The 10315-nt window shown below is 55.7% G+C and overlaps 2 protein-coding genes and 1 non-coding gene across 12 annotated transcripts, besides 7 other annotated features; 1 reads left to right on the top strand and 2 right to left on the bottom strand.

Annotated features, from left to right (window-relative positions):
• Positions 130 to 239: an enhancer, noted in NCBI's record as "active region_26343". NCBI's record gives its function as "activates an Ori minimal core promoter by ATAC-STARR-seq in GM12878 lymphoblastoid cells {active_cell/tissue: GM12878}" and the evidence as "EXISTENCE:reporter gene assay evidence [ECO:0000049][PMID:35858748]".
• On the top strand, positions 160 to 5445 carry LAMTOR4 (late endosomal/lysosomal adaptor, MAPK and MTOR activator 4). Of its 9 annotated transcripts, NR_134527.2 has the most exons (5): positions 160 to 217; positions 741 to 821; positions 3958 to 3999; positions 4642 to 4759; positions 5109 to 5445. NR_134527.2 is itself a non-coding variant. In NM_001394588.1 (4 exons), exons 1-4 carry the CDS (start codon positions 215 to 217, stop codon positions 5136 to 5138), a joined length of 327 nt encoding a protein of 108 aa, NP_001381517.1. In that variant the 5' UTR covers positions 160 to 214; the 3' UTR covers positions 5139 to 5445. The 9 variants fall into 9 exon arrangements, 6 of the variants coding, with proteins under 6 accessions (NP_001381517.1, NP_001381516.1, NP_001305165.1 ...); NR_134529.3 differs by lacking the exon at positions 3958 to 3999 and having other exon boundaries at positions 160 to 275; NR_134526.2 differs by lacking the exon at positions 3958 to 3999 and having other exon boundaries at positions 741 to 807.
• Positions 388 to 1000: an enhancer, noted in NCBI's record as "H3K27ac-H3K4me1 hESC enhancer chr7:99746769-99747381 (GRCh37/hg19 assembly coordinates)". NCBI's record gives its function as "activates a minimal SCP1, AML or CMV promoter by ChIP-STARR-seq in naive H9 embryonic stem cells {active_cell/tissue: H9 hESC(naive)}" and the evidence as "EXISTENCE:reporter gene assay evidence [ECO:0000049][PMID:30033119]".
• Positions 540 to 629: a silencer, noted in NCBI's record as "silent region_18418". NCBI's record gives its function as "represses an Ori minimal core promoter by ATAC-STARR-seq in GM12878 lymphoblastoid cells {active_cell/tissue: GM12878}" and the evidence as "EXISTENCE:reporter gene assay evidence [ECO:0000049][PMID:35858748]".
• Positions 640 to 729: a silencer, noted in NCBI's record as "silent region_18419". NCBI's record gives its function as "represses an Ori minimal core promoter by ATAC-STARR-seq in GM12878 lymphoblastoid cells {active_cell/tissue: GM12878}" and the evidence as "EXISTENCE:reporter gene assay evidence [ECO:0000049][PMID:35858748]".
• Positions 5446 to 5664: 219 nt separating the features above from the next.
• Positions 5665 to 9965, bottom strand: TRAPPC14 (trafficking protein particle complex subunit 14). Of its 2 annotated transcripts, none has more exons than NM_001303470.2 (11): positions 9831 to 9965; positions 9085 to 9180; positions 8875 to 9004; positions 8615 to 8701; positions 8336 to 8456; positions 8087 to 8234; positions 7876 to 7958; positions 7628 to 7791; positions 6913 to 7067; positions 6504 to 6697; positions 5665 to 6406 (listed from the first exon to the last, which is right to left on the bottom strand). In NM_001303470.2, the coding sequence occupies exons 5-11, from the start codon at positions 8371 to 8373 to the stop codon at positions 6253 to 6255; spliced, it is 936 nt and encodes a 311-aa protein (NP_001290399.1). In that variant the 5' UTR covers positions 8374 to 8456; positions 8615 to 8701; positions 8875 to 9004; positions 9085 to 9180; positions 9831 to 9965; the 3' UTR covers positions 5665 to 6252. The 2 variants fall into 2 exon arrangements, with proteins under 2 accessions (NP_001290399.1, NP_060745.3); NM_018275.5 differs by having other exon boundaries at positions 9331 to 9965.
• MIR4658 (microRNA 4658) lies at positions 7847 to 7911 on the bottom strand. The gene has a single exon (NR_039802.1). It is a non-coding gene; the product is annotated as a microRNA 4658 (primary transcript).
• Positions 9072 to 9248: a silencer, noted in NCBI's record as "fragment chr7:99755453-99755629 (GRCh37/hg19 assembly coordinates)". NCBI's record gives its function as "represses an EF-1alpha promoter that drives an FKBP-Casp9 reporter gene in an ReSE screen in HepG2 liver carcinoma cells {active_cell/tissue: HepG2}" and the evidence as "EXISTENCE:reporter gene assay evidence [ECO:0000049][PMID:32094911]".
• Positions 9280 to 9429: a silencer, noted in NCBI's record as "silent region_18420". NCBI's record gives its function as "represses an Ori minimal core promoter by ATAC-STARR-seq in GM12878 lymphoblastoid cells {active_cell/tissue: GM12878}" and the evidence as "EXISTENCE:reporter gene assay evidence [ECO:0000049][PMID:35858748]".
• Positions 9460 to 10099: a silencer, noted in NCBI's record as "silent region_18421". NCBI's record gives its function as "represses an Ori minimal core promoter by ATAC-STARR-seq in GM12878 lymphoblastoid cells {active_cell/tissue: GM12878}" and the evidence as "EXISTENCE:reporter gene assay evidence [ECO:0000049][PMID:35858748]".

Below are 10315 nucleotides of genomic sequence, written 5' to 3' on the forward strand. Positions count from 1 at the left end.
ATCACCAATCAACGTGCGCCTCCGGGAAACAGCGCTTCGCACTGGCTGGTTGGGTCTGACGACGTGGCCACTGTCCAATCCTCATGCTAGAGGCGGGGCTAAAGGCCAGTGGCGCAAGCAGAAGGAGGAGCGCAGCGGCTGCAAGCACGTGACCGGGGCCTGAAGCCGGAAGCTACCTATCTGGTAGGGAGCTCCCCCAGCACCGAAGACTGCGATGGTGAGTGAGGACGCATGCGCGAGAGGACCCGCCGGGGGTTCAGCGTCTCTGCTCCCCAGTCTGTGTGGTTTCCCCCTGGTGGGCCTGCGCTCCACCCTCACCTCCTATCCGCTCGGGGAGGAAGAGGGGATGGAAATGGGAGGGATGGCGACGAGAATGCTGGGGAGGGGTCTGTGGGAGGGTGTTCTGGGGCTGCGGGTAGTCTGCAGGTCGGGCGGAGACGAAGGGAGGTGAAGAGAGGGTCTGGGGGCAGGGGCCAGTGGGGCAGCAAAGGCCCCTTGGGGTAGCAAAGGTGGGATGTGGAAGGCCAGGGGAGCCCGGGGGCGAGAGTGGGGGCAGATGGAGGCTCGGGAAGATCAGTATTGAGGACCATGTAGGGGGGAGGGGGCCGGGAAGGGACCTGGCTGGGGAATGAGAAAACCTGGGGCCATCGTCAACCCAGAGACTTGGGTTTGCAGGTGAAGGGTATCGGGCCGTCCATCCCTCTAGCATGCTTCTCACGACTTGCATCTTTACCCACTAGACTTCTGCGCTGACCCAGGGGCTGGAGCGAATCCCAGACCAGCTCGGCTACCTGGTACTGAGTGAAGGTGCAGTGCTGGCGGTGCGTTCTGGGAAAGGGAGGGGGTCCCTTAGTGCACACAGCCCGGTAACCCCTTCTAATATTGGCCCTTCTTTTCTCGGCTTTTATCTGGTTTCCTGCCTGGCATCTATTAGGTTGGTACAAAAGTATTTGCAGTTTTTGCAATTACTTTCAGTAATCAGTCTGTGGAATCTTAGTCTCCTAACGGCTGCGATTTATTTATTTATAGTTTTTGAGACTGAGTTTCGTTCTTGTTGCCCAAGCTGGAGTGCAGTGGTGCGACCTCGGCTCACTGCAACCTCCGCCTCCGGGGTTCAAGCGATTCTCCTGCCTCAGCCTCCCGAGTAGCTGGGATTATAGGCACGTGCCACCATGCTCTGCTAATTTTTTGTATTTTTAGTAGAAACGGGGTTTCACCGTGTTAGCCAGGCTGGTCTCAAACTCCTGACCTCAGGTGATCCACCTGCCTCAGCCTCCCAAAGTGCTGGGATTACAGGCGTGAGCCAACATGCCTGGCCTTTATTTGGTATTTCTTAAAAAGGCATTTGTATTTTGTTCCATAGTACTGTATGGTGTTAGGTCTCTAGATTACAGGCGTGAGCCACCACGTCTGGCCTTTATTTGGTATTTCTTAAAGAGGCATTTGTATTTTGTTCCATAGTACTGTATAGTGTTAAGTCTCCAGATGTTTTTGACTTAGGTAGAGACAAAGCTTAAGGTTAAGGGTTGAAAACAATACAGGTGGTAAAGACTATTGAGGGAATCCAGGATATTAAAAATTCAACATGTTATGACAAGGTAACTAACTTTCCGGGAGGTAGGAATTCAGCCCACCTTAAAGGAGAGTATTTACAGTGGGGGAGGACTTATTTGCAGGTGTGTGGCACTAACCTATCTGAACTGATGGTAAGTTTATGCTGAAAAGATTTGGGAAGGTTTGAGGGAAGAGAGGAGGATATGGTCAGGGAGGATGTAATTGTGAAGGATCTTCAAGGCCAGGTTAACACACTTGAACTTATTCTTGAAGGTAATACAGTTTGAAAGGTTTTTTAAAACAGAAACAAGACCCAGTGAGGTGGTTGAGCAATATTGTTGTTAGTGATGTGAAGATGGGCAGAAGGAGGCGTCATTAAGAGATGAGACTGGGCTGGGCGTGGTGGTTCATGCCTGTAATTCTAGCACTTTGGGAGGCCAAGGCGGGCGGATCACGAGGTCAGGAGATCGAGACCATCCTGGCCAACACGGTGAAACCCCGTCTGTACTAAAAATACAAAAACAAAATTAGCCAGGCCTGGTGGCGGGCACTTGTAGTCCCAGCTACTCGGGAAGCTGAGGCAGTAGAATGGCGTGAACCTGGAAGGTGGAGGTTGCAGTTAGCCGAGATCACACCACTGTACTCCAGCCTGGGCGACAGAGCAAGACTCCGTCTCAAAAAAAACAAAAAAAAAAAGAGATGAGACTGGGCAAGTGGTGGTAAGAAGGAGGAGCAAGGAGAGAAGAGTTTTGTTTTTGTTTTTTTTTGTTTTTGTTTTTTGAGACAGAGTCTCGCTCTGTGGCCCAGGCTGGAGTGCAGTGGCATGATCTCAGCTCACTGCAACCTCCGTCTTCCGGGTTCAAGTGATTTTCCTGCCTCAGCCTCCTGATTAGCTAGGATTACAGGTGTGCACCACCATGCCCAGCTAATTTTTGTATTTTTAGTAGAGAGAGGGTTTCACCATGTTGGCCGGGCTGGTCTCGAACTCCTGACCTCATGATTTGCCCGCCTCAGCCTCCCACCCAAAGTGCTGGGATTACAGGCATAAGCCACTGCACCCGGCCTGTTTTTTTGTTTTTGTTTTTGTTTTTTTTGAGACGGAGTCTCACTCTGTCACCCAGGCTGGAGTGCAGTGGTGCAGTCTCCCCTCACTGCAAGCTCCGCCTCCCGGGTTCACGCCATTCTCCTGCCTCAGCCTCCCTAGTAGCTGGGACTACAGGCGCCCGCCACCATGCCCGGCTACTTTTTTGTATTTTTAGTAGAGATGGGGTTTCACCATGTTAGCCAGGATGGTCTGGATCTCCTGACCTCGTGATCCGCCTACCTCGGCCTCCCAAAGTGCTGGGATTACAGGTGTGAGCCACAGCACCCCGTCCTGTTTTTTTGTTTGTTTGTTTTTTTTTAAGATAGAGTCTCGCCGTCACTCAGGCTGGAGTGCAGTGGTAACGATCACATCTCATTGTAGCCTTGAACTCCTGGGCCCAAGCAATCCTCCCGCCTCAGCATCCCAAGTAACTAGAACTACAGGCAAGCACCACCACGCCCAGCCATTAAAAAAAAAAAAAAAATGTGTGGAGACAGGGGCCTTGCTATGTTGCCCAGGCTGGTCTCAAACTCCTGGCCTCCAGCATTCCTCCTGCCTTGGCCTCCCAGAGTGCTGAGATTACAGGCATGAGCTCCTGTGCTTGGCTGGAAGAAGTTATTTTAAAGGAGGAATCAGTATATCTTGCTAATGACTAGAAATAGGTAATAGAGGAAATATTTCTGTAGCCAGAACTCTAAAGCCTGGAAGAGTGATGATGCCTTAAGAAACATGTCCCTGCGTGGTGGCTCACGCCTTTAATCCCAGCACTTTGGGAGGCTGAGGTGGGTGGATCACTTGAGGTTGGGAGTTCGAGAGCACCCTAGCCAACATGGTGAAACCTCATCTCTACAAAAAATTAGCCTGGCATGGAAGCACATGCATGTAATCCCAGCTTCTTGGGAGGTTGAGGCAGGAGAATTGCTTGAACCCAGGAGGCAGAGGTTGCAGTGAGCCAAGATTGCACCACTGTACTCCAGCCTGGGTGATAGAGTGAGACTCTGTCTCAAAAAACAAACAAACAAACAGGAAATCAAAAAAAGAAGTGGATTGGGAAGGAGGTGGATAAGGATAAGGTGAAATTTGATGGCCCAACTTTAGACATTGAGTTTGATATAAAATAGCAGTTAATATATATTGCTAGTTCAGCAAAAGGAACTAAATCTAGTGGAGGCCCATATCAAGGAAGAGGGAAGAGGAAGTTGAGACAGTCACCAGAAAAGAGGAAGCCCAAGCCACTGTCCCATCACTTACTCTAGGGGTCAACAGAGGGAGGTATTCAAGGACAAAGGGAATGTTTATGTTTGAGATTCTGCAAACAGGGCAGCAAGTGTGAAGACAGAAAAAGATGGAGCCATTAACAGGTAAGTGGTGGGCAGGCATTCATTTTGGAGAATGTGGCTTTATCAAATAGGCAGGGACATGGGAGAAATCCAGTTTTATGGGGTTAGAAAAGCATGGTCAATAAAGAGATGGATGGCCAGGCACGGTGGCTCACGTCTGTAATCCCAGCATTTTGGGAGGCTGAGGCGGGCAGATCATTTGAGGTCAAGAGTTTGAGACCAGCTGATTAATATGGTAAAACCCCGTCTCTACTAAAAATATAAAAAATTAGCTAGATGTGGTGGTGCTGGTACGTGCCTGTAATCTCAGCTATTTGGGAGGCTGAGGCAGGAGAATCACTTGAACCCGAGAGGCCGAGATTGCACCACTGCACTACAGCCTGGGTGACAGAACGAGATTCCGTCTCAAAAAAGAAAAAAAAAAAAAAGATGGATAAGTTACTGCTCATCCGGGGAAGGCCAGTATTATGGGAAACAGGATGGCATCCGGAGGGTGACAACATTATAGGGGGAGATTTCAGGTTGTTTTTTTCCAAAGCTGAGGGTACTGGCAAGCCAAGGGGGAGAGGGTCTAAGTGTGAGAACCAAGGGGACTGTGCCTGGAATTCCTTCCTGAGCCTGTGCCGTAATGCCCGCCCCTCTCCCTCCTCCGTCTGCATGCAGTCATCTGGGGACCTGGAGAATGATGAGCAGGCAGCCAGTGCCATCTCTGAGCTGGTCAGCACAGCCTGCGGTTTCCGGCTGCACCGCGGCATGAATGTGCCCTTCAAGCGCCTGTCTGGTGAGCCCCTGCCCCTGCCCTTGGTGGTGGTACTGGGAGCGGGGGGCTACTTCCAGGGGCTTCTCGGCTTCTCTTCTTCCAGCCTCCTACCATCTCCTGGGGTCTCTGGTCTGGCCACTTTCCTCCCTTTGGGACTCCCTGGTATCAGAATTGTGAATGAGAAGGCAAGAGAAAGGAGATCTAGCAGAGGCCACTCATCTTCAAATCTCTGAGCCTGGAACTATAGAACTTCTTTGGCTTTGATCCCAGCCAATGTGCGTGTGGCCCCGCCCCATGGAGTCTGTTGCACCCACTAACTCTGTGCTCCCTTCCCTCTCCTGGGGCGGGGGAAGGTGTGTCTCTCCTCCAGTGGTCTTTGGAGAACACACACTGCTGGTGACGGTGTCAGGACAGAGGGTGTTTGTGGTGAAGAGGCAGAACCGAGGTCGGGAGCCCATTGATGTCTGAGCCTGCCGGAGGGCGAGGGTCGGAGAAGCGGATTGGGTCCTGGGCCTCTGTGATGAGGCAGGCACACCTGTCGGTCTTGGCTTGCTGCTAGAACTAGGGCCTTCTGCTCGCCCACCTCCCACCCCTACCTGGACGGGCCCAGGCTTGGGGACTCTGAGCTGTGTTAAGGAGAACAAGGGCAAGGAGACCTCCCTTTGTGCTCCCTCACTCCCTAATAAACATGAGTCTGATGTTCTCCAGCCCAGGGACATGTGTGTTTAGTGTTGGAATGGTTACACCCCATGTCTGTCTTCCACCTTCTGGGGAGAAAGTCATGCACCTTAGCCCAAGTTGGGTGCGGCAGGGCCACCTCTGTGTGCTATAAAACTGGGAAGCAGAAAAAGCTGGAGGGGAAGGGAGTCACCCTGAGCCCTGGCGACCTCTGCTCTTCCCATCAGTACACAAACTAGTCATCCTTCTCCCTCCTGAACAGGCATTTAATAGTCTTATTTCAGTTGGAAGCAATAGTTGGAAAATAAGTTACAGGAACAGACCAAAAAAAAAAAAATTAAAGTGCTTCAGGCTGCAAACGTAAACATAAGGGGCAGGAGGCTACCTGGCCCTGTCCCCAACCCCTGAGACAGGAAGGTCACTGTCAGGGGCCCTTAGCCATCACCACCCTCTAATCTCAGCCCTGCGGGAGGGAGGGAGGGAATGTCAGAGGTGGGAAAGAACTCAACGGGAATGAGGAAGAGACTTTGTAAACTCAGAACCAGGGTAAAGGGCCGGGGACAAGGGAGCTCTGGGAACCCTTGCCCTGGCCTAGGGGTGGGGCCAGCCCCCCCCACAGGAACTCGGGGAATACTGGTGGCTTAGTCCCAGCCATGCCCGCCCACTTCACAGCTTCTTCCCCCATCCCTCATCAGCAGACACAAGACAGGCAGCTCTGCCAGGCCTCTTCACCCCCGTCTGGGAGGCATCCCAGGGGAGGCACAGCCCGGGAGCAGGGATCCCCTCTGGGGGCGTTGGGTCTCTGGAGTGTAAGAGGGAACAGAGCTGGCACGGTGCTACTTGACGGGTTCCACCACCAGGACCTTGCACTCGCGCTTGGCAATCTTGTCCAGAGACAACACAGCCTTGTCCGGGGGCAGGTAGAGGGGGCGGCCAACAGGAGAGGCCACAGGGGGCGTGATGGCTCTGCGCTCCATCACACTGCCCGACCTGGGGGAAGGCAGAGGCTGTGGGCGCTGGTCAGACCCGGCACCCTCGCTGCTCCCATCCTCTACCCGGTCCCATGCCACGCCCCCTGGTTCTGTACCTCATGAGGTGGCTTCGGGAAGGCTGCTGGTGGGAGAAGGACTGGGAGCGGCCCAGGCTAGCCTGATGCCTCTCCACCAAGTCCCGGACAGCAGGGCTGCTGGGGCTGCTCTTGCGGGAGAGGGGCCGGGCCTCGGGTGGAGGGTGGGACACGCTGGCGGTGAACTGCAGCTTCAGTTTCATGTGCTGGCTTAGCTGGGGGGAGACACAGGTCAGCATGCCAGCTCGGCTTCCAGGACCCAGGCCTCCTTCCAAATGGTCTTCCCCATGTGACAGACTGATGTCAAATCTAAATCCCACCTTCCCTCTGCCCAGCTTTTTATTTCATCCCCAAAATCTAAGGGTCCTGCCTCCGTCCACCCCAGCATTCTGCATCACTCAGCACTCAGCCCAGACCCTCCCCAGCCCACCTCGAAGAGCCCCGTCCTCAGAGCCTGGAAGGCCACACTGAAGGTGAGCGCGCTGCCCTTCCGGGAAAAGCCAAGGTTGTTGAGGGGCGTGTGGCAGACGACGGAGTCCAGGGCAGCCTGCATGGCCCGGCGCTCCTCCTCACACAGCTGCTTTCCTGGGGGCAGAAACAGGGACCAGCAAACACTACAGCGTTCCTCATTCCCACAGGGCCTTCGCCAGCACAGTCTCATCTGATTCTCAAAGCCACTCTGTGGAGTAAACTGAGCAAACGTTATCTTTTGTGCATGTTGTAGATAACAACAGCTAATACGTACTGTGTGCAAGGCACGTCACGTATATTAACTCAGTATCTGCATGACAGCCCCATCAGATATGAGTTGCTCTATTTTAAAGGTGAGGACTCTGAGGCCCAGAGAGGTTAAGTAACTTATTCAAGGTCACACAGCTAGTAAAGGAGAGAAGTAGAGTTCACACCAGCGAGTGCAGCTCCAGTGTCTATGCCCTGAAAGTCACTCTGCCCCACTGCCTCTCTAAACTCTCCATCTAGGACACTGGGGAGACCACCCAGGTACAGGGCGGAAGCCACCTGCCACAAGTCGCCTCCTGTGATGGGGCTGGCACCAAATTTGGCTGTTTTCACTGTCCTGCCTCCCTGACTTTTTCCTTTCTCTTCCCCTCCCTGGGGACCAAATTCCTACCTGGCAGCTGACCTACCAGCCTGTGCATGCTCTGGGGTCCACACGAGCCTCACAGCAAGGAAGTCTTGGAGATTGTTAAGCAGCGTGTAGGTGACAGTGAAACGCTCGTAGGTCCGAACAGGGGACTTACAAGAAGCGGTCATCACAAAACACGGGCGGTCCAAGCGGACACTGGGCAGGCTAGGAGTGGTGAGAGAGGGATGCTGGCTGTGTGTGTCAGGCCACAAAGGCGAACGCCACGATTCCTCCAGGATCCACACTCACCGGTAGTGGGTGTAGATGCTCTGAGTGAAGGGCAGCTTTGGGGTAGACCACTGAACCACAGCAATCAGGGGAACTTCCAGGCCCTGCAGGAGGGACAAAGGGGGTTGGCACAGGTATTAAGAGTGCCCCTCCCATCTTGAGTCAGCTGCCTGGTCTTTCCCTCCCACTGCCTTATCACTTTTCTTTGAACACACCAGCCCCTTATGCTCACCTCCTTGGCCCCTGGAGGGGGCTGCTCACCCCCTCTCAGCTGAAACAGGAAGTTGTGTTCCTCCAGGGCATTCAGCGGGCAGGGGAAGCAGCCAGAGGTCCCGGGTAGGCGGCAGAAGGAGCCCATGGAGACTTCCCCAGACTGGTGACTAGCTCAGAAAAGAGGACAAGGCATGGTCTCCCCATGCCAGAGCTCAGCCCCTGAAGCCATCCCCACCACTTCACAGCCTCGCCCCTCCCAGGACCTCACCAGACATTGTCCACCAGCAGCACAGAGCCATCGGGCATGACAGGTAGATAACTGGCGTTGAAGTTGGGGAGGATTCGGATATCCCAGATGGAGATTTCCTCCTGAGAGGAGCTGTTCAGCACTGTGGGAGAGGACCAGCTTGGCTCAGAATAGCTGGACCCCTCAGGCCCCACCTTTACCCAGAAAAAACCGGACCTACCCCACCAGCCTGCCCAGAGGAACTGCATCCAATCAGTTCCCTTGTTGCTCCCGGAGGCTGGAGCCGGCAGCCCTGCTTACCCTTGAGCACGGTCAAGTGTTTTCCAGCCACAGTGAACTGCCGGCATCTCAGAACCGGAGGGGGCAGCAGAGTCAGCAGCGTGCTCACTGCGGGAGGGGGTGGGGGCAAGAAGTGATGGTCTGGAGGCTGACCTCACCTCCAACCCAGAATTCTCACCTTCCTCTTCTCAGAGCCCATTAGCCACTTTCCAGTGTGACCCCTCCCCTCTGTCCCCCAATTCCCAGACTCTAGCCCTTTGCCTCTGCGCTGCCCTGCCCACCTTGGGCCTTGAAAGCGCTCTGCTCGCCCCGGAATGTCTCCCCAGGAGATCGGGTCTGCAGCAATCGCAGGTAGCCTTGATCTCTGACCTCTGGTGCCTCAATCTCCCGCTTCCACACAGTCACTACAATCTGTCAAGAGGAAAGACAGATGGCTGAGCCCGGAAAAGGTGTCTGAATTAGGACAATAGCTCCACTCTTGCTCATCTTACCTTGGCCTTAGGTGTCCCTGGGGGCAGTCTATCCAGTGAAACGGTGAGTGGGAAGATGACCTCATCTGTGGACACAATCGGTTCCTCCACAGGCAGCTGGGGTTGGGAAAGGGGTGAAGAGGTCAGGAGCAAGTCAGAGGCAGCCTGCAGCCTTTCCCTTTAAGACCGGCAGTTCATCTGCCTCCTGCCTCAGGCCCCCAGCAAACCGCCCCTCCGTCCTGTGCCAGGTCCCCCAAAGCTCCTCACCGTGGTCGCTCCCCCTGAGGTAGCAGGGCCCGGGCCGTGGGTGAGAAGGGGGCTGCAGCCTCGGAACAAACCCCCACCCCCAGGATCCCCTCCCCCTGGGGGCTCCGAATCCTGGTCGCCGGCGCCGCCGCCCCCCGGCATCCCGCCTCCGGCGCTGACCGAGGCCAGGGCGGCCAGGGCGGTTGCCAGTTCTGCCCAGGCTCCTCTGGAGCCCAAGCCCGGGCCGCCCCCGGTGCCGGACCCCGCACCGCCCCGGCAGCGCAACACCAGCAGAAAACGGACAGTCTCCCCCAAGTACAGATGGTTGCGCCGGGGCAGCGCCCGGTACCGGCCCGGATCCCCTGCCAGCTCCGCGCGCGGCGGCAGCGGCACGGCCGGGAAGTACATCGAGTAGTCGCACTGGGACTCCATGGGGCGGCGAGGACGGCGCGACTGGGAGCCCGGACCGGAGGCCGACCGCCGGCGGGGCCCGCTAGGGTGGGTCCAGAGGGTCCCGACACCTCCGGCTGCTGCGCCCGGCTGGGGCGGCCGGAGAGACCGGCCCGGTCCCGGCACCGGGGCAACGAACCCGAACCGAGACCCGGCAGCGCCGGAACCGGGGTACTGAGCCGAATGACTGGAGAGAAACAGGAAGCGGAAGGGAGGGGGCGTGGCCGCCGAGGCCCCGGAATCTGCGGGTGCCCGGACCGTGGAGGAGGGGGCGGGGTCCCGCTGCTCTGAGGCTGCGAGAATGCAGGCGGGGGCTGCGGCCAGGCTTCTTGGAAAAGAAATGGAAGACCTCGTCGGCCAGGCGGGTTGGCTCACGCCAGTAATCCCAGCACTGTGGGAGGCCGAGGCGGCAGGATCGCTTGAGGCCAGGAGTTCAAGACCACCCTGGCCAACATAGCAAGAACTCCTCTCTGCAAAAAATTTAAAAATTATCCGGGCGCGGTGGCGCGCGCCTGTATTCCCAGCTACTTAGAAGGCCTAGGCAGGAGGATCCTTT

This window comes from Homo sapiens, chromosome 7, assembly GCF_000001405.40.
Source record: "Homo sapiens chromosome 7, GRCh38.p14 Primary Assembly".
In the NCBI taxonomy this organism is placed as follows: Eukaryota; Metazoa; Chordata; class Mammalia; order Primates; family Hominidae; genus Homo; species Homo sapiens.